Source organism: Homo sapiens, chromosome 3 (genome assembly GCF_000001405.40).
Source record: "Homo sapiens chromosome 3, GRCh38.p14 Primary Assembly".
In the NCBI taxonomy this organism is placed as follows: Eukaryota; Metazoa; Chordata; class Mammalia; order Primates; family Hominidae; genus Homo; species Homo sapiens.
The window spans coordinates 113,945,212-113,966,002 of NC_000003.12; the positions used below are offsets into that span (position 1 = coordinate 113,945,212).

The 20,791-nt window shown below is 43.3% G+C and overlaps 3 protein-coding genes across 51 annotated transcripts in view, besides 4 other annotated features; 2 read left to right on the forward strand and 1 right to left on the reverse strand.

The window, feature by feature from the left end:
* Nucleotides 1-1,963, forward strand: part of GRAMD1C (GRAM domain containing 1C) — a 118,983-nt gene extending 117,020 nt beyond the window's left edge. For all 6 annotated transcript variants that reach the window (XM_011512930.2, NM_017577.5, XM_005247547.3 and 3 more), the window contains one exon: nucleotides 187-1,963. In XM_011512930.2, the coding sequence (XP_011511232.1) occupies nucleotides 187-267 (81 nt within the window). In that variant the 3' untranslated portion in view covers nucleotides 268-1,963. The remainder of the gene's footprint in view (nucleotides 1-186) is intronic.
* Nucleotides 2,220-2,720: an enhancer, noted in NCBI's record as "H3K27ac hESC enhancer chr3:113666278-113666778 (GRCh37/hg19 assembly coordinates)". NCBI's record gives its function as "activates a minimal SCP1, AML or CMV promoter by ChIP-STARR-seq in primed H9 embryonic stem cells {active_cell/tissue: H9 hESC(primed)}" and the evidence as "EXISTENCE:reporter gene assay evidence [ECO:0000049][PMID:30033119]".
* Nucleotides 2,220-2,934: a biological region, named in NCBI's record as "H3K27ac hESC enhancer GRCh37_chr3:113666278-113666778".
* Nucleotides 2,435-2,934: a silencer, noted in NCBI's record as "silent region_14612". NCBI's record gives its function as "represses an Ori minimal core promoter by ATAC-STARR-seq in GM12878 lymphoblastoid cells {active_cell/tissue: GM12878}" and the evidence as "EXISTENCE:reporter gene assay evidence [ECO:0000049][PMID:35858748]".
* The window catches only part of ZDHHC23 (zDHHC palmitoyltransferase 23), a 31,608-nt gene continuing 13,506 nt past the window's right edge, over nucleotides 2,690-20,791 (forward strand). Inside the window, exons 1-7 of one of the 33 annotated variants that reach the window (XR_924119.2) lie at nucleotides 2,690-2,979; nucleotides 3,475-3,752; nucleotides 8,489-9,199; nucleotides 11,128-11,295; nucleotides 13,152-13,327; nucleotides 14,310-14,389; nucleotides 15,509-18,162. Coding sequence is in view for 25 of the 33 variants with exons in the window: in XM_047447882.1 (XP_047303838.1) it covers nucleotides 3,592-3,752; nucleotides 8,489-9,199; nucleotides 11,128-11,295; nucleotides 13,152-13,419 (1,308 nt within the window). In the remaining 8 variants the exon portion in view is untranslated. Of the gene's footprint in view, nucleotides 2,980-3,177; nucleotides 3,753-8,488; nucleotides 9,200-11,127; nucleotides 11,296-13,151; nucleotides 18,163-20,791 lie in introns of those variants that run through there. The other 32 variants (XR_007095657.1, XR_007095656.1, XM_047447891.1 and 29 more) reach the window with 32 other exon arrangements.
* Nucleotides 3,285-3,384: a silencer, noted in NCBI's record as "silent region_14613". NCBI's record gives its function as "represses an Ori minimal core promoter by ATAC-STARR-seq in GM12878 lymphoblastoid cells {active_cell/tissue: GM12878}" and the evidence as "EXISTENCE:reporter gene assay evidence [ECO:0000049][PMID:35858748]".
* The window catches only part of CCDC191 (coiled-coil domain containing 191), a 92,477-nt gene continuing 90,611 nt past the window's right edge, over nucleotides 18,926-20,791 (reverse strand). For all 12 annotated transcript variants that reach the window (NR_148531.3, XM_011513052.3, NM_001353767.2 and 9 more), the window contains 1 exon segment: nucleotides 18,926-20,148. Coding sequence is in view for 11 of the 12 variants with exons in the window: in XM_011513052.3 (XP_011511354.1) it covers nucleotides 19,944-20,148 (205 nt within the window). In the remaining variant the exon portion in view is untranslated.

Below are 20,791 nucleotides of genomic sequence, written 5' to 3' on the forward strand. Positions count from 1 at the left end.
ACTCTGTAGCAATCATACTGATAGATACCCCAAAGAATCAGGTATTTTGTATTTAACGTTTTATTTGGGCATCAGTATAAACAAAACTATATTAAGTGTCACTGTAAATTTTGGGCATAAAAAACAGAAATTTTCAAATCTGATTAGAAAAATTAATCTGATTTTGAAAATTAACTTTGTTTACAGCTGAAGAGCTCACTCATTATGCTTCAGAAAACGTTTGATCTACTAAATAAGAATAAGACTGGCATGGCTGTTGAAAGCTAGTGATCTGAAGGACTAAAACCGCAGAGATACTTGGAACTTAAAGAAAATACCTGGAAGAAAACCAGACGAATGAAGGATTTTGGCATAGAACATTTCTATGTTTTTTCATTATTGAGATTTCTAATATGAACATTTCTTTCAGTAACATTTATTTGATAATTAGTTTCTGCTGGCCTTAATAATCCATCCTTTCACTTCTTATAGATATTTTTAAGCTGTGAATTTCTTCAGTGAACCATGAAATATATTATAGAACTGAATTTCTCTGATACAAAAAGAAAATGACACACCCTGAATTGAGTGGTATGGTCTCATTTCTACAGTGAAGTCTGATGCTTTGTTAGCACAGAATCCGTACATGTCCAATAGGTCGCTTTTGTAACTGAGATAAGACCAAGAGGATAAACAGGACAATATAAGAAGAAACCTCTATGTCATTACTGATTTTAAAGGTTCTGTTTTCAGGCATATAACATTTCCAGGTTTGTGTACTGTAAAGATTATAATGTCTTCATTTATTTAGCATGCAAATTTAATAGTCAAACTTTTTGAATCTGCATGTTGATGATGATTATCAGAAAGGGTCTTCTGCCATGCTGTATCTTTATGAAAGAAATAGTTGTTTTTTCTTAAGGTAACTATCAGAGGTGGGATTATCTTGCCTCCTCACTTAGAATACCAACAGTCAAAAGGAAGAACCATCCTCTGAGTTTTAAAAACCAGAAGGTTATGTTAAAATCTGGGCATTTAGTGACAGATCAAATGCATACTTGAACTAAGATTGGCTTCAGCTTAGCAGTCTTTCATGGTGGAAGTGACACATCTGGTTGAAAATAATTTGTGTATTTTCAGTAACCATGTATGGCTTCCTTCTTTATGTATGTGTGTGACTTGTTTTGATTGGTAAGTTATAAGCCAGACATAGATTTTAGCTCTTTAATAAAAACTTCAGGGGCACGTATGTCCCAGTACAAGTGTACTGACTATCAAGTTTTAACTCAGATGCAAGCTTTGGCTCTTTCATAAAAAGTTTTTATGCATATGTGTCTCCATACAAGTGGCTCATTAAAATAAGAACTTTGTAAACTGACTTAAAATCAGATATTTTTTCAAGAGTTAGGGAAAGTTGAAGTGTTTTACTGTTTTGTCTCTTGAGCCCTTTCTCTGGGGAAAAAATACATATCCATCTATCTATCTATATATAAACTGTGTATACATTCTTACTGTTTGAACAACTATTGCCTTTAATTAAATGTTTCATTTTTCTCCAGAGTCCCCAAAGCCACATGGCATTATTATAGTCATTTTTGAGATGCCTGTAGAGAATGAAAGTATTGACTCCGTTAGAGGGAAAATGGGTTTCTCTGGGTGAATTCCAACGAAGCATACCTAGGGGTAACAGTGAACCTACCTGGGTTTGTTTTGTTTTGGTAAGGATTTATGTAGTGTCTGGCTGTAAGCAAGAATGAGTGGATTATAAACTTGAAGATTTCTCTGTTAAAGTCACAAAAATGATCGACAAACAATATTTTTGTGATGTTTATTTAAACGTTGTATTTTATAACATACTTCAAGGAAGAGTATCGAAGTAAGTTGCTTTATAAATTAAGACTAAATTCGTATGGATGCAGAATTCAATTAATAAAATTTGAGCCTGTTACGTAAATTGAATATTAATAAAATTGAAAATTTCTGAGTTGTAGTTTTTCTTCTTTTTCTACTTAAAAACAAAACTAGAAAGCCTGCGGTAGTGAAACGTGTACATGGGCCCACACTCTTTAAAGAAATTTTGTGCAATAATAAAACCCAAAAAGGACTCTCATCTCAGGGCAGTTTCATCTCAAATACACAGACGACTGGAACAAAAGTACTAGCGAGGCCTGCTGGTCCAATGTAAAGGCTGCTAGCCAGAAATCATGAAACGAACAGGTTGCTAAATGAACAGATCCGGCAGCAGTGATGGGCCTTTAAGAGAAGGTCAGCGAAACTGGGGGAGGTACTTGGATAACATTTTGCGGTGGAAAGCTCCCTCACCGCCTGTTGCCGGAGTCTGAATGAAGGCTGGCGGCTCCACGGTCTCACGTAGTTCGGAAATCCTCCGGGTTCCCGGGTTTCCCGTATTTCCGTCTCCGCACCTCGTCCGCACCCCGGGGCTCCGGAGGCTGTCCCACCGGCGCGCCGCCCGCAGGCACCGGCGGCGCCCGGCTGCCGCCTCTGGGGCGGGGCGGGGCGTGGCGTGGCGGGGCAGGCCGGAGGTGCGGGACCCACCTCCTGCCCCTGCCTCCTGGACGCGCTCTCGGGAGCCGATTTTCCCCTTCCCGGCGCCAGGGCCGCGGGCCAGGAGGAGGAGCCTCGCCCGCGGGCACCGCGGGGAGGCGGGCGGCGCACGTGCGGACAGGCGGGGAACCCCGGCGCCGGGGGCGGGGCACCCGGAAGCGCGCGTGGACCTGGCGCACCGAGCCGGGCGGGCGGAGGGGCGGTTGGGACGGCGCGGGGAGGCGGGCGCGCCGCCCGGGCCGCGGCGGGCTGTGGTCACAGGTGGGCGGCTGCGGCGAGGGAGCGGCCGAGCGGAGCCCGGGTCCCGGAGACTCCTGCCGTCACGCCCGGGGCTCCGCGTAGCAGAGATCGGGAGACGCGTCTGTGCCTCCGGGGAAGCCGACCCATCTCCCCTCCGCCTCTTTGGCTGCAGTTGCACCTCCGGCCAGAGGGCAGGTAACTTCCCTTCCAAGGTCATTCTCCTGGCGGGGTGGTGCGCGAGGCCCGCCCACGTCCTCCGGATTGGCGGGGGCGGGAGAGGCGCACCCTGCAAGGGGCCCGACCAGTTGGGCTGGACCGCGACCCCTGAGCACTGCCAGGGAGCCTGGTGTGTCAGCCGCTGCTAGCGGGCATATGCTTCGCCTTTCCCTATAGCCCCGAGGCTGAGTTCCCACCAGCGCCCAGGCTTGGAGCGGAGACCGCTCGGCCCTCCCAGCCTGCACCCGCAGGTGAGCGCAACCGCCCGCGCCCCGGCTGTCCCGGACGCGTGGTCGGCTGTCGCCATAGGAACGGCTGGTGCCCAGACGGCGCCTGCCCAGGCTGGGAAGGGGCGGTGAAGGCAGCTCAGACCTCCAAGAACCCTGGAGCCCCCTGTGTGGCCAGGCGGAGCCACAGAAGCCTGATGAAAACGGGACCCCCTCCCCCTCTCTCTTCTCATTTTTGATTGCTCAGGCGTTGGAGGTTAAGCAGAGAGAGAGAGGCGTGGACCTATTTACGAGATGTAAGTTGTGTTCTTTCCACCTTTACCTTCTGAGGGCTTCTTACGCCTCATGGTGACAGGTGCAAATCATGACACAGAAGGGCAGTATGAAGCCTGTGAAGAAAAAGAAAACCGAAGAACCTGAATTGGAGCCCCTGTGCTGCTGCGAGTACATAGATCGGAATGGGGAAAAGAACCACGTGGCTACTTGTTTGTGTGATTGTCAAGATCTGGATGAAGGGTGTGATCGGTAAGAACAGAGCATTTCTTGACGCTGGCCCCATCACCCTTCTGAGAACTGCCATGTGTACTTTCAACCTAGCCACCCAGAATGCTAGAATTTGCTCTTGATTCTATTTCCAAGCATCTAAAATGAGAGTTGGCTTCTGTGTCAAGTGTGAGGATTTTAGAAAGATGGATTACGCAGTAGTGCACAGCTGTCTGTCTGCTCTGTTTTATAGGATATTATTTTTCGTTTAAAGAGAGATGAGGGAGAGAACAGGCAGTTTAAAGGGATAGTAGGCAAGTTAGTATAAAATAAAATGCAAGCCAGCAGAATCTGTAAGTTTAAAATGAACACAATAGTTCCAGAAAGTTCCTGCCTTCTCAGAGGTCTCAGCATTTAGAGACTGACTACTTGGGACTGGGTGGCACCTGACCACAGAGGGCCTTGTGGGTTGAAATTTCATTTTCCTGCTGTTAGTACTGGTCTTGCCCCTTGTTTCTGGGGAGGAACTCCAGCCAGAAGGCATGTATCTCCCCTGGATTCACAGTTTTCAGTGCGACCAGCAACACTCTTGATTGATCATACTGTATTTGGCTTTTATTTTCCAAGTGATGGAAATTACTATCCAAAAAGAGAATTTTTAACATCACTGAAAAAATTTGGTGTCGGACAGTGAATAATCTGGTTTTAATCCATTTTCTGAGTAATTATATATTTAAAAATCACTGTCAATGGAAGTCATAATGTGGGAAGGATAGGGATGTTGGAAACTTGCTTTTCCCATTAATAATTATTTCTGGTTAAAAAAGTCATTGCAACTGCCAATTTGTTGACTTAGAACTTGATACATTAATACAGCCATGAAAAGCATTCCCTGGGGTCTGCAGTCTAGTACCAGCCTTGACTATTAAAAACCCAGTGAACCCTTTGTCGTTCTTACTTGACAGTGTACTGTGTAGTCTTTTTTATGGATGTCTTTGAATATAGGTTCTTTAGATTTAGTCTGAAATCTATACTGAGAAAATAGAGCACTTTGCACTAATGAATGGAGAAATGATGCTGTTTCCATAACCACCATCACTCAAGACCGCAGCTCTTCCATTAACCTTGCTAACTCTTCCTCCCTCCTAGCCCTGGAGACCTTGGCTGTCCCCTGAGGCATCTCCTCTGCTCTCTCTGTACCCCTCTCCTCTGTGTTTCCACCGTGCCTGCTGCTCTGTATGATTCCCAATTAGTTATCTCTAAGTTCTAGTCTTACCTTTAAAAATTGTCTAAAATCAAAGTTACCTTTCCTTAAACTCTACCTTTTCTTACTAGCCTGTCTTAATTTGTTCAGGCTGCTATGATAAAATAAATACCTGAGACTGGGTAATTTGTAAACAATATACATCTATTGCTCACAGTTCTAGAGGCTCAGAAATCCAAGATCAAGGCACTGGCAGATTCAGTGTCTGGTGAGGGCCCTTTTCCTCATAGATGACACCTTCTTGGTGTGTCATGACATGGCAGAAGGGGTGAATAAGCTCATAGGGCTCTATTATAAGGGCACAAGTCTCATTCATGAGGGCTGTGCCTTCATGACCTAATCACCTCCTTAAGGTCTCACCTCTGAATACTATTGCATTGGGAATGAGGTTTCAACATAATGAACTTTGGAGGGACACAGATACTTCCTGGCTCCCTAAAATTTATGTCCTTCTCACATGCAAAATACACTGATTTCATCCTAATAGCCCCAAAAGTCTTAGCTCATCCCAGTGTCAATTCAGAAGTCTAAGTCCAGAGTCTGGTCTGAATATCATCATCCAAATCAGATATGGATGAGTTTCAAGATACGATTCATCCTGAGACAAGTTCTCCTCCACATGTGAGCCTGTGAAATCAAACAAGTTAGGTGCTTCCACAATACGATGGTAGGACATGCATAGAATAGACATTCCCATTCCAAAAGGGAACAACAGGAAGAAAGGAGTGTTACTGACAGGTCCTAACCCAGTGGGGCAAACAATGTTAAGCCTTAATAAGGCTTGAGAATAATCTTGGACTTGATGTCCTGCCTTCTGGACACACTGGGTTGGCGGTTGGGCCCCCAAGGCTCTGGGTGTCCCCGCCACCACAGCTTTGTTGCGCACAGCCCACACTGCAGCTCTCATGGGTTGGAGTTCCTACAGGTGCCTCCAGCTCTCCCAGGCTGGAGTTGTATGCTTGTGGCTCTACGGGGCTCTTGGGGGTGACCCTGTCCCCACAGCTCCAAGCAGGCATTGCCTCAGTGGGGTCTCTCTGTAGTGGCCCCACCACAATGACAGCTCCACTGGGCAGTGCCCTAGTGGGGGCTCTCTGTGGTGGCCCCACCCCTGTGGCAGTCCTCTGCCTCGGTCCCGAGGCTCTCCAGGGCATCCTTTGAAGTCTAGGTGGAGGCAGCCAGGCCTCTACAGCTCCTACACTCTGGATGCCTGCAGCATTGGCACCCTGTGGATGCCACCAAGATTTACCACCTATGCCCTTCAGAGGGGTGGCCTCTATGGCATACCTAGGCCCAGTGGAGCCACACCTGGAGCTGCCATGGAGGGTGCACCAGAATGTAGGGAGCAGAGACTTCAGATGGCACTCAGCAGTACACCCTGAAGCCCCATGGGTGCCCTGGGCCCTCTTATGAAACTGTCTGCCCTCAAAGCCCTGGCACTTCAGGTTTGTGGTGGGAGCAGCAGCCCCAAGGATCTCCGAATGCCTTCAGGGTCCTTCCATTGTCTTGATGACTGGCACGGGGCTAATCCATACTGATCTCATCTACATCCTTGCTGTTCTCTCCCAAACATGCTTTCTCATTTGTTACAATATAGACAGGCTGAGAATTTTCCAAATCTTTGTTTTACTCCCCTTTTGATTATGAGTTTTGTCTTTAAATTATTTCTCTTTGGCTGGGCGCGGTGACTCACACCTGTAATCCCAGCACTTTGGGAAGCCCAGGTGGGCAGATCACCTGAGGTCAGGAGTTCAAGACCAGCCTGAACGACATGGAGAAACCCCGTCTCTACTAAAAATACAAAATTAGCCAGGCGTGGTGGCGCATGCCTGTAATCCCAGCTACTCAGGAGGCTGAAGTAGGAGAATCGCTTGAACTCAGGAGGTGGAGGTTGCGGTGAGCTGAGATCGCGCCATTGCACTCCAGCCTGGGCAACAAGAGCAAAACTCTGTCTCAAAAAAAAAAAAATTTCTCTCCTGCATTTTACCCTAAGCATTTATGAGAAGCCATGCAGCACCCTGAACACTTTGCTTAGAGATTTCTACTGCCAAATATTCAGTTTAATCACTCTTGAGTTCTACTTTCTACCAAACAGTAGGACACAAACACAATTCCACTGAGTTCTTTTTATAAGTGTCCAGGATCACCTTTCTTCTAATTTCCAATAACATGTTTGTCACTTCCATCTGAGATCTTATGAGAATGGCTTTTACTGTCCATATTTCTGCGAGCCTTCTGTTCATTACCTCTTAGGGATTCTCGAAGATTGAGGCTTTCTCTGCAGCTCTCCTCTTCTGCCAGAATCACCCTTGACAGTTTGTTCAGATAGTCTAGGATTTTTCCCAGCATGCACTTCCACACTCTTCTAACCTCTACCCGTTACCCGGTTCCACAGCTGCATCCACATTTTTAGATATCTGTTGTAGCAACATCCTACTTCTTAGTACCAATTTCTGTCCTAGTCTGTTCAGGCTGCTGTAACAAAATAACTTAGGCTGGGTAATTTATAAACAACAGATATTTATTGCTCACAGTTCTGGAGGCTGTGAAGTCCAAGATCAAGGCAGCAGCAGATTCAGTGTCTGGTGAGGTCTCCTCAGCTTCATAGACAGCACCTTCTTGCTGTGTCCTCACATGGTGGAAGGAGCAAACAGGCTCCCTTGGATCTCTTTTTTAGAGGCATTAATTCCACTCATCAGGGCTCTGCTCTCATGACCTAATACCCTCCTAGAGGCCCCGTCTCTTAATACTCTTGCATTGGGGATTGGGTTTCAGCATATGAATTTTGGGGGCATAAACATTTAGAACATAGCATAGCCTAAGTGTGCAAAACAGTCAACCAATATCATTCCATTCACCAAGTTCAGTGATTTGACTCATACTAGTTTGATCTCCATTCTTCTCTATGTAGCCCTGTCCCTGTGGGACTAGTCTACTCCCTGGGCTCATGCCAGGTATGTGCTGCACACATTTCTTTCCACTGGAAGGCCTTCCTTACTCCCTCTCTATTCATACACATGCTAGCTGGACATCAAGGTTGAGCACAGATCCCACCTTTTCCACAAAGACCCCTCTGAAGACTCCACCCAGAAGTATTGATGCTAGTCTGAGCACTCCTTATAATGTTTGATCACAAGAGTTTATTGATTATTGCTGCTTTGTCACTTACCTAATAGTTCTTAAATTCCCATGTTGTCCTCATAACTAGATTGTGATTTGTTTTGAGATTCTTATGACCGTACAGGTCATAAGATGTAAACATTACTTGCAGCATGTGTCTGTACCTATGTATTTGTTTAGGGGAGAAATAATCTTGACTTTAAGTTTTTAAACATCTTGTTCCTATTTTAAAAAATGACATGTGAATCTGAAAAGCTTAATTTAGTAGTAAGGAAGTAAAATGCTTGGTCTTTGGTAGCTTTTATCGTTTATCCCACTGTTTGGCATTCAGTGTTCTGTAGCTTTTAATTCAACAAACCCACATGAAGTCCCTCCTCTTTGTGCTTTTTCTGAATAGATGGATTACATGTAAATCTTTACAGCCAGAGACTTGTGAAAGAATCATGGATACAATTTCTGATCGCCTCCGAATTCCTTGGCTTAGGGGAGCCAAAAAAGTGAACATCAGCATCATCCCTCCGCTTGTCCTGCTGCCTGTCTTCCTTCATGTGGCTTCCTGGCATTTCCTCCTGGGGGTGGTGGTTTTGACCTCCCTTCCTGTGCTGGCACTGTGGTACTACTACCTCACTCACAGAAGGAAAGAACAGACCCTGTTTTTCCTGAGCCTTGGACTGTTCTCTCTGGGCTACATGTACTATGTGTTCCTGCAGGAAGTGGTCCCCAAAGGGCGTGTGGGTCCCGTTCAGCTGGCGGTTCTTACCTGCGGGTTATTTCTGATACTCTTAGCCTTGCACAGAGCCAAGAAGAATCCAGGCTACCTCAGCAATCCAGCAAGCGGTGACAGATCTCTAAGCAGCAGCCAGCTGGAGTGCCTGAGCAGAAAAGGGCAGGAGAAGACCAAAGGGTTCCCTGGGGCAGACATGTCGGGCAGTCTCAACAATCGCACAACAAAGGATGACCCCAAGGGCTCTTCCAAGATGCCAGCTGGAAGCCCCACCAAAGCGAAGGAGGACTGGTGTGCCAAGTGCCAGCTGGTGCGACCAGCCCGGGCATGGCACTGCCGGATATGTGGCATCTGTGTGAGGAGAATGGATCATCATTGTGTCTGGTATGTTGGAAACATTTGGAGACTTGGAAAGTGTAAATTCATGTAAAACTCTAGTTACATTTTATCTTCCCTTGTGCTATCCCAAAATTTCTCTCCTTCCCAGCTTTACACCTTGTAGATATTTGTGGGTTGTTGTGATGTTCCCACTTAGTCATCAGTTTTTCGAGTTTCACAAATTTAGTTCCTTCAGTCATTTCCTGAAGGAGAATAACAGAAAACTTGTGGGGTTTTTTTTTTCTCAATTTTCTTTTGAATGACTCCTCATTTATCTTTTCCTTTCTAATAGAGAAATATCTACAGTTGAATGATTTTTTAAAAAAAGAATTGATCAGAAACAGTATAAGCATATTTCCCTGTGCTATTCCTTTTTAAACATAAAGCTCAAGAAAGTGTACCCCTATTTTTAGGTGACTCTTTTGTCCCCTTGCCATACATACTTAATCGTTTTTGATGCTACCGATGATTTCCACTTAACATTATTGAATCGAGGTCCCACCAGATAAACTCTCTATTTGATTATTTGCAGAGAAATGGGCTTTTGTACCTGCCAGTTGGCCAGTAACAAACGAAGGTACATAAGGCTCCGTAAAATATGAAGTGCAATGTTTAAAGATAATGTTGCAGCTTCACTAAATACATCTAAACTAAAGGGACTATAATTAATTCAGATATGAATGCTGTAAGTAGCATGTTTGCAGTTTATTGCTCTTCAGGCAGTCGTGATCAATGAATTAATGCTTTTCGTGTCTAGGATTCTGGTCCTGTAGCGTACCTCCTCCTCAGAAGGGGATGCAGGAGAGGGTGAGGGTGCAGAAAAGGCTGAGAGGCATTGGCGTGGGCCTCAAGTGCATGGCTCAAGTGCAGGGCAGCTCTTTTCTGGGTCCTTGTCTTTAGAAGTAAACAGGTGTTTTCATTTTTAGATGTTCTACTTCTGTGTCTTCACTTATTCGTGTGTGTGTGTGTGTGTGTGTGTGTGTGTGTGCGTGTGTGTTCCATTTACAAATGCTGGTTTGCAGAAGGCTCACCTAACAGCAGATATGTGCCCACTGGAGCATCCTGGCATGCAGTGGGTAGAAGGCACTCCCTCTACATTCTGCCCCACAAATGGCCATGACACAGAACTGTTTTTACCTGCCAAAGAGCCTGCATGTTATCAAGTTGTTCTTCCCCCTACGCTATGTTTCTAACCTCTTTGGATCTTTATATTACTCTTCATATATTTAACATGAATTTTCCCATACTATGTAATACTTCTGATTTAGCATTTTTAAGTTTTCATAATTCTATTTATCTCCCTTTCCTTAACATGGTGAGGACAATGTTAGATCTCCATAGCTGGGTAATATTGATATTTAGGAAGATTTGTTAGCCAGGTTCTGCTTTTTATACTTAGTCTTGTCCTTAAACTGACGATATGATTCCACTTTGCGAAGAGTAGAGAATATAAGACTGCATTCCTCAGGGTGCAAGTTTTTAATTCCCTAAAATTGAAAAATAAGAGAACTTCTTAATAACTGGAATTTACATTTTCCCTATTTAAAACCTTGTCTTGGCTGGGCGCAGTGGCTCATGCCTGTAATCCCAACACTTTGGGAGGCTGAGGTGGGTGGATCATGAGGTCAGGAGTTCAAGACCAGCCTGGCCAACATGGTGAAACCCCATCTCTACTCAAAATACACAAATTAGCTGGGCATGGTGGCATGTGCCTGTAATCCCAGCTACTTGAGAGGCTGAGGCAGGAGAATTGCTTAACCGGGACCCGGGAGGCAGAGGTTGCAGTGAGCCAAGATCGCGCCATTGCACTTTAGCCTGAACTACAGAGCAAGACTCCGTCTCAAAAAAAATAAAGCTTTCATGTTTATTATGTAAGTTATATCAAGAACTCTTAAAAATGTGTTTGCTTTTTTATTTCTCTATGCTGTTTTGAGGATAAATAGCTGCGTTGGAGAATCAAATCATCAAGCATTTATACTTGCCCTTTTGATCTTCTTGCTCACCTCGGTGTATGGGATCACACTGACCTTGGACACCATTTGTAGAGACAGAAGTGTCTTCACAGCTCTTTTCTATTGTCCTGGAGTTTATGCAAATTACAGGTGAGCAGTGGGTACCACAGTATGGAGGCCCCCTGGGAAGTAATGGGTGTTGCCATTGACAGGGACTATTACTACTTGGTTAGGAGTTCTCAATCAAAACATAGGCCAGGCTATGGAAATGCTGGGTATCCCTGGAATTGCCAGCAAAATTGTGCATTGGTGATGTGTGTTTTTCAAGGGTGCTGTTAAAAGGATTGTTGACCTTTAAAAAGTGAAGAACTAGTTCTCTACAAACAGGACCAGGCCTAATCAGGGACTTCCAGAGTCAAATGACCACTCATAGGCTCAAAAGTCGCAACAGTGAAACAGAAACAATAAACAAAAACTAGCAGCCCCAGGGCACATATGTGCCTATTTTGTCATAACGATCAGAAACCTTCTCACTTTACTGCTGCTTTCTGATGTTTTTTAGTCCAATCTTAATTTACTGCTTCCGACCCTTTTGAGATGTGCTCGACATCTCTATAACCTTGCTTTTCTTTCTAACCTCTCTTGGTTTTTCCTGTTCTACTTTCTTTCTTTTTTTAATCACCACTGATGATTACTGTGATATGTAGGTCAAAATTTCCTTAGGCCCCTTTATAGATTGTGAAGATTTCCAGGCCATGGCAAAATTTGGGATTCTTCCGCTTCGGCCTCAGCGCCCCCTCCCTGAATGCTGGGGCCCCCCTCTGCCCATGCTCTTTATTCCCTTCCCTTCATCATCCTCTCTGACATAAGTGCTCTGGGGTATCTGTGGTTTGGCCCTTTTCTTTATTCTCACTCTTCATTTTCAGAACAATCCTTGCTTTCTTTACAAAGTATCCCTTTGTGGCATTTGTTTTTATTAGCCTGTGGACAGATCTCCCCATTGTCATCCTAGAACCAGACACCTGTGGGCATTATTAGAATAGATTGGTCTTCCTCAGATTAAGTTTCCTTCCTCACTGTGTGGAGAGTATCTCCAGCATGTGAATGAAATTCTCTGCTAACGCTGCAGGTGAGGCCCGTCCTGAAGCACAGCATGTCTGTGCACTCTCGGTGCGGAGGCGAGGGAACCGAGGAATACAGTCCTGCCATTGCTTCTCACCCTGCTCTGTGCAGGCGATTCACAGCACCTCATCTTTTTGGTTAGGTCCTTGGATTTAATAGTCTTTGAGGTCCCTTCAGCTTTTACAAATGAAGATTCTGAATGAACTTATTTCTAACTAACTCTTAATTTGCGAATGTTGGAAAATCATCAAATGGCAGAGGCTAACTGGCAGCCTGTCTCATTAGTGAGCCTGAGAGGAGCTTCCCTACCTTGTGTGATTGTGTTGGGCTTTAGGAGGGTGAATTTGGAATGTCTCGGTGTTCCTACATCCAGGTAAGCACAGGGCTGCTGGGGTTGGGAGTCGTCCATCGTCTTTTCATTCCTCAGCATTGGACTGGAAAGAATGGAGATTAGTAACTTTAGCACTGTTCCTCGGCATCCACCTGCAGCTTCCTAGAAGACATTTATAGCAGTCCCTTGGTGCCTTTGTTTTCTCATGAGTTAGATGTAATTTACGAATTACTTGTTTATTTAACAAACAGGTGTTGAACGCTGTTATGTCAGGCAGCGTGCTGGGTGTGTGGAGGGTACAAAATGCAAAAAACAGTCCCTGCTATTCTAGTGTAATATACTAGAAAATAGGCACCAGTAATTATAGAATAAACACACACATTCTCCTACTTAAGCAGGTTATTGGCATTCTGAGTATCTTCCAGTTCGGAGGGTTGGGGAAGATGCCAAAGTCTTTAGTAATAAGTAAAAAAATGTGTAAAACGTGAGAATGATGACAGTTTTCTGAATTTGACAAAAACGGCAGCCCTGACAGCCTTTTTCCCTCTCCTAGCTCGGCTCTGTCCTTCACCTGCGTGTGGTACTCTGTGATCATCACAGCAGGCATGGCCTACATCTTCCTGATCCAGCTGATCAACATCAGCTACAATGTGACTGAGCGGGAAGTCCAGCAGGCCCTCCGACAGAAGACTGGGCGCCGGCTCCTCTGCGGGCTCATCGTGGACACAGGCCAGTACAATAGGGGCTTCCTGCGGAACTGGCACCAGTTCTCCACCCTGGGCACACGTGCATTCCACCACCCTGCCGAGGACATTGTCTGAAGTGCCTTCTATGTGGCTCTCTGAGGGATGATGGCTCCTCCTTCCGTCTCCCTTCCATTTTACACTTCAGTGTCCATTTCTATCCCCAGTTTCTTAAAGGCATTATAGGGCCATGCTCAGGTTTAGAGACTGGAGTGGGAAGAAGTTAATTTTTCTGACGCCACAACTTAAGAGACTTTTATACTGAGGCAGTAAAAGTAGAGCCATTCCTTTCCAGTCACCTTTTTAATTGACTCAGTTGCCTGAACTTGAGAAGGATGTGGATTGCTAATGCACAAATTGATAGAAGCAATTCCCATCCATTAGTATGGAGGAAAGAGTGTTGGATTAGGATAGTTTCTAGTCCCTCTTTCGATTCTTAATAGCCATGTGACCCCTAGCTGAGTCACTTTCCCAAGTCTCAGGGTCATCTGCAAAGTGGGGTACTGATGCCTGCCCTGGCTACCTCACAGAGCCGTCATGAGGGTCACGTGAGGGAAGATGGATGTGGAAAGCACTAAAAAACAACTCAAGAGCCATGGAAATACAAAGTATTAGGAAAATATTATGATGGAAGAAAAACGTTTATAGTCTAGAATATTGAAGCCAATATTATTAGGGTAATCAGTTTTCAGCATATACCTTGTTGTACAGTTATGAGAATTTCTCCTTCTTATTAGACATGAACTACTCAAACAGAGAAGATGACCAGATGGATTGATGCTAAGTTGTCTCATCTTGAAAAGACAGTTGACAACAGTTATAAAGATAATTATTGCTAGTGTAATGTAGTGTGGCCATGAGTTTAGGTGATGAGTTCTTCTATTTATATTTTATAAATTCTGCTTGGGTTTCTTATAAATAACTCCAACAGGCATTCATGTGTTTTTCCTCTTCCCATGTTTCACCAGGTAAGGTGCTAGCACACTTGTGACTGTGGCTGGAAGAGGAGAACAGACACTCCTGTGGGGATGCTTTACTCTCTTTTCTGGTAGGAAGGCTGAGTAACATCACGGGCTCGATTATTTTCTTCATGTATTTCAAATGCTGTCAGTTATAGCACTAAATTGTGAAAATCAGCCTTCTGGCATTCACATTATTCTGGTATGAACTTTGAGGAGTTGAGTGACATCTTCCCACTTAACTTGCACATTAATTCTCAATTACCCCTCCCTAAATAACAGTATCTCACTAAGAGAGAAGAAACAGGGTATATGTGGTTTCCACTATTAATGGATTACTGTTCTTCCCTGGCTCTTCCGACAATAACAAGTTGTTTCTTTAATCATATCTTAAAACCGAAAATGTATAAAAGATTAAATATTTATGTACAATGGGTTGTTCTACTATAGAATTAAGATGAGGGAATTTCAGATGAGGAAAATACCCTTTTGAAATGTTAGTTTTGAACATGTACTGTTGTGCAATCCCAAAGATAATTCATGACTCCTTAAATTTGCCTTGGCTTATAGCTTAATATAGGGAAAATATTGCCAGCGTTTTCAGTCATTCTGTGCATGCTGCTTTAAGCAAGAGATTTATATTTGTTGAGAGGAAATATTGCTACTTCCTGCACTTCCACCCTCTGCAGCCAGCACCGTCCCTACTGTTGCCATTAATTGGAGCTGTCCTTAAGATGGTCACCATATTCTTATTCAGGCTGTTGTCATTTTCCCCAGAGATGGTTTGTTTAACGAATGATAGGCTCTGTGCCTGGGGATGTTAGCAGACTCTGGGGTTTGTACAGTGATGCCTTCTCCCTGGCCCAGAGCTGAATATTCATCTAGAATTAAAGTTGGATTTGATATAACAAATTTCTTTCTATACAGGTTTTACATAAGAGAGACAGTAATAATGTCAAGGATAGCCTGTGTGGGCAGAAATTGGTAGTCGTGCTTTTGAATGTCAGCTGTAGAGCCAACTCTGATTATCTAGCCATTGATCATACAAATTGATAGAAACATTAGTCAGTAATTTTAGCTTCTTGCCAAATTGTTCACAACATCTAAATGTAATGTGATGTGATGAAGATAAGTAGTACAAAGAGACCAAAATAATTTGGGAGAATTAGGAATGATGACAATTTTTTTTAACAACTTACCTCTAATAGGGTTACTTGGATGAGCCAACTCCGCTTCCTTCCCATGGATAGGAAGGGACTCTGTGTATTATTCAGGTTTATTGGCACGAAGATACTTGTTTTAAGTTCCTTGAGAACCCATGATGGACAGTTGACAGAATGCTTAAACCTGTCAAAAGATGAGTGATCTTGTGTGGGAAAAGCCTTCCCAGGCGTCTGTACCGAAAGGAGCAGCAAACAAGGGGCTAATCCATGAGCAGTGTTCTGTAGGCTCTGTGACATCTTTGGTTTATAGGATTTTGGAGCCTTTTATGATCTGGAACTATTTGAGGGGTTTCATTATAGGCCTTGGTTCTCTCCAGGGGCCAGATGAGTTTATTGTGGAATCTTTGAAAGGACAAGGCCTCTGTGAATGAATCAGTCCCAGGGAAGCATTTGGTGGTGGCGGCAGTGGAGGATTGCCCGGTGAACCTATAAATCAGCAGTCTCTTGGGCAGAGGAGCAAGCCCCTCGAACATGATTTCAAACAAGCAGGTCCTCTTCTCTCATCTCACGTCCTTAGTCTCTGTTAATGAACATACTGGATGTGGAGTTTAATAAATTACCTACTATCATCTGGCCACTTAGATTATTATCACACCACTGTGGACTGTTCCTGGGGGGAGAAGAACAGACCGATTTGAAAGATTCAAGGGAGAAAGATTAAGGATCAGGATTGCATGAAAGAAGAAAATCCTTCAATATTTAAAATGTTTCTTACAATACCCACGGAGCACTTTTATGGTTCCAGCCGAGCGTTCCTGAAATGAACTGACCATTAACAGCGCCTCTTTGATAGGTTACCCTGATGCTGCTAAAGTAAAGCCTTAAGTGTGTTTTTGGGACAACGTGCTGCTTATTCCACCTCAGCCACATATGTGTTTGTGTTTAGGATATTGTAAATCTTTGCTAAGTAGTGTTTTCCTTGGTGAATGAAGTCATTGTTGTCTTCAAGTGTACCATCTGCCTAGCAAAAAATTGCTACAAACTTTCTCTTATGCAATAGTCCTTGGTACTTCTAATATTTTTAGCAAGAGACAATTTTCTGTACTAGAATCTTCCACTGCCAGAAAACACAGTGCCAGTAAGGTTCTACATACCACTGACCATCTGCTTAATAGACATGTATTTCCTTTGAGTAGGACATTAGCTTTTGATTATAAAGCTCAACTAGTATAAGCAAAAATATAACATCTAGAAGCACAGTTTTAGCCAGGATGTTTAAAAATTACAGTTTTGTGAGACTTAAGGGTCTTTTTAACCTAGGTAAGTTTATATGACCTAACTTAATTGTAGCCATATTCTGGTACCTTCCATTTTGAAAAGTAGAGGTTGCTTAAGCAAGCAATGGATAATAAGAGACTTTTCCTGAGGCACCTGTTTGGAATCTGGTTTTCTCAGCGGCAGCTTGACATGTGCACCCTTTTGTATTAAACACTGCAAGGGTGATGCAGGGGAGCAGGAAAGCCATCCTAAACTCACTACTGAGTACGATTCAGTATGTTCCTGTGGATGTCTGCTGTGACTAATATAAATTTCTTGCAGAATCAGCTACACTTAATTATGTTGCTGATAGACAAGCATCCACGCTTCAGCTGGCACTAAGTGTTTTCATTGTAGGATCAGCAGCAGGTTAAAGACTGAACGGTTAGTGAAGACAAATGTCTTAAGAGGCTGCGATGTCTAGGTTGGGCTTGTGACTTCTTAGTGGCCTAGCCTTCTTGATGGCACCTTGAAAGTGAACTTCTAGAAATCTACATTTAAAAGGCAAAGCTTTAAAAGCAGAGCTAGTCTATTCTAGTTACTGATGCAACTAAAATTCTGTATTTCTTAAGATGGAGCCACTGACGAGATGTCACAGTATAGAGCCTGCAGTCTCAACTCATTGTGATCCTAATGGTCTGGGTGATTGGATGGTTTGAGTTGTTAGGGATTTTGAGTTTTTCATTTTATTGCATATCTGGGTTGGATGTTAGACTAAAGGAAACCCAGGAATATTTACCTGGTGTTACATTTAATATTTAATGTAACTGGTCTAGCAACATTAAGGGGGATTTCTGAAGCCAACTCCGGAGGCTGTGGGCTGCACATTTTGCACTGTTTTTATATACTTGTATTCATATCCTCTTATCACCTCAGACTCAGACACAAGGCCTTTTACATGGAAATTTTACAAATTACTTCCATTTATGTAAAATAACGTCCTGTGACCAAGTTGTTTAAATGGAAAATAAAGTGCTTTCTTTAAGGAAAATAGCTGGTGTTTCTTGGAGTGTCTCCTGAAGTCTTCTGATTTCTGAAAACCCTGCATTATACCTGTGCTGCCTCTGTGGCTCCCTCAATGTCTCTATCCTGTGGCCCTGTCCCTAGCCCTAAACTGTTATGTTCCCGGTGGCAATTTCTCCAGTTTTGTGGGTCAGGGATACTGCTTGTTGGGGCATTATGTTAACAGTAACATTTTGAAACATACTTTCATGATAGTCCAGCAAAAAACAGCATCAAAACTATTTCCATTGTATCTCTTTAGAAGGCTCTGTATTCGGTAAAAAGTCTAGCTGGCGCCATTGGAATATGGGCTGCTAAAGACTCAATTTCTAGTTGATGTTTGAGGTGAGGCAAAAATAAAGCTAAGGTAGAAAACTTAAGCTTTGTGGGATTTATTTATGCGCCTGGCATGTTGACTTAAGGAACTCAACCTTATGTACAGGCTTGGCATTTAAAGAAAACTGGTGGCTGGGTGTGGTGGCTCACTCCTGTAATCTCAGCACTTTGGGAGGCTGAGAGGATCACTTGAGCCCAGGAGTTCAAGACTAGCCTGGGCAACATGGTGAAACTCCATCTCTACCAAAAAAAAAAAAAAAAAAAAAAAAAGTTAGCTGGGCATGTAATCCCAGCTATCTGAGAGGCTGAGGTGGGAGGATCACCTGAGTCTGAGAGGTCCAGGATTCAGTGAGCCATAGTCAGGCCACTCTACCTCCAGCCTGAAGTACAGTGACAGAGTGAGACCCTGTCTCAAAACAAAAAAAACACAGAACAAACAAAATAATAAAATTGGTATTTCATTTCCGGGTGCTAATATCAGCCAGTATTTTGTAAATGTACTGTAGTTAGGTTTAAACTGTTAGTGATTTTGATGGAAAGTGATGTATTATGAATTACTTTTAGTTACATTTTCTTTAGTGGCCATTCATCTTGAAAAACACAGGTTTTTTTTTTTTTTAAATGACAACTGTATAATCCTATTAAAGGAAAAGCTGTGTGGGAACAGCCATGTCGTAGAAGAAATAAAGTTCAATTCAAGGTGTTTGGTCATATCACACATCCTCCGTGATAAAAGTATCTTAAGTCGTGTAGCAGGTGGTACAGCTAGATATCCTTTCTAGGAAGTATGAGACAGTAACAAGAACATTCACTTAAAAAACCACAGAATTTTATTTTGTCAACTCAAATTTTCAGCACACCAAATAAGAGTAATCATCTCAGGACTGCACAGGACTTTCTCATTTTACCATATGCATTTATGGACTACTTGAATTTGTTATATAATAAATGTGTATTTTATAATGAAAAATTATTTTTCTAGCAGGTAATTCTCTAACACAATTCATAGAAGAGAGCATTTTATCAGTCTTTATAGCATCTTAAAGATGAAAACATTCTTTGAATTCAAGATAGGTATCTCAATATCTAGATCAAACTGAGCTGAGTACTAGAAGACAAACTGAGTGTATTATTCAGCAGTTGCAGGTGGGAGCATGAACAGATAATTTAATGAATTGCTGGACTGTCATGATAGAGCTATTACCTTTTGGAATGTCCTTCATGCTTATCAAGGTGCACGGAAGAGAAGCATCTCTGGTGCCTCAGTTTCTCTGAAATCAGGATAAGCTGCTGTCCTCTGCAGCAGCTGTGTAGAGAACCTTTTCATACATGGTCTGCCTTCAGGGGTGGTGAAAGTGGACGAGGTCTGGTGGGGTGCGTGTCACTGATGCTACTGCACTAGAAGGCTGAGTGCCTTGGCCCGCCCTTCCTTTCCGAGCACTCACCCCTGTTTATTTCTGTTTCATTAAGGTCACATCAGCAACTCCTGTCGTGCTATACGGACACATTTTCTTCACAGGCTCAGTCAGGCAAACACTTGTCCTTTTTAAAGTTTACTATGCTAAAAATATATAGGATATATTTGAACAGACGATCTCTAGAATGTTCCTTTGGATGATCCCACTGTGATAAATGCTATAGTGAATGACTAGCAATCCAGGAAAAGTCAAAGAAGGGAATAAAAATTCTCAAAATAATTCCTTTGATCTAAGAAGTAGCTCGTAGAGAATAAACCAGGTGTATGTATGTATGTGTGTGGGTGGGTGGAGATAACACACATACAGACTAGTCGAGCTTCCTGTCCTAAATATTACACTAATCTGGCTCATTCGTTCACCAGACTTGTCTTACTCAAGGACCAAGTATCTGATTGCTGATATAGCTCGTGGTACCTTCCAGGTACCTGGAAGTCTGGAAGAATTTCAACTACCTTCCTACGAAGTTGCTGTCGCCTTTCTTCTTTTACTCTTTCCTCTTTCATAAATTTTACAAACTTCTTCCATGTCCGAAGGGTGATCCAGAGGATCCTCCTTTAAGAATAAAGAAGGAAAAAAGTGAAATGTTGAGAAAAAGTTGGCTTTCCATCTATAGCACATTAAGAACTTTATAAAAATAATTCTTATGTTAATAAAATGCTGTATAAAAGGTGTGGAAATCACAATCGGGATTATGACAGTGTGAAATGCTGTGAAAAAAATAAGGCAACAAAAGGGAATGAGAGTGACTGATTGATTGATAGGTTATTTTTATTTTTATTTTATTTTATTTATTTTCTTTGAGGCAAGAGTCTTGCTCTGTCGCCCAGGCTAGAGTGCAGTGGTGCAATCTCGGCTCACTGCAACCTCTGCCTCCTGGGTTCAAATGATTCTTGTGCCTCAGCCTCCCAAGCAGCTGGGATTACAGGTGCCTGCCACCATGCCTGGCTAATTTTTTTTTTGTATTTTTATTGGAGACGGGGTTTCACCATGTTGGCCAGGCTGGTCTTGAACTCCTGGCCTCAAGTGATCTGCCTGCCTTGGCCTCCCAAAGTGCTGGGATTACAGGTGTGGGCCACTGTGCCTGGCCAGTTATTTTTATTTTTGATTGAGTGGTGAAGGAAACTGAGGAGGTGACATTTGAGCAGAGCACCAAATGGCTTCCAGTAACCCAAGCTACGAGGCACACTCCTGAGTT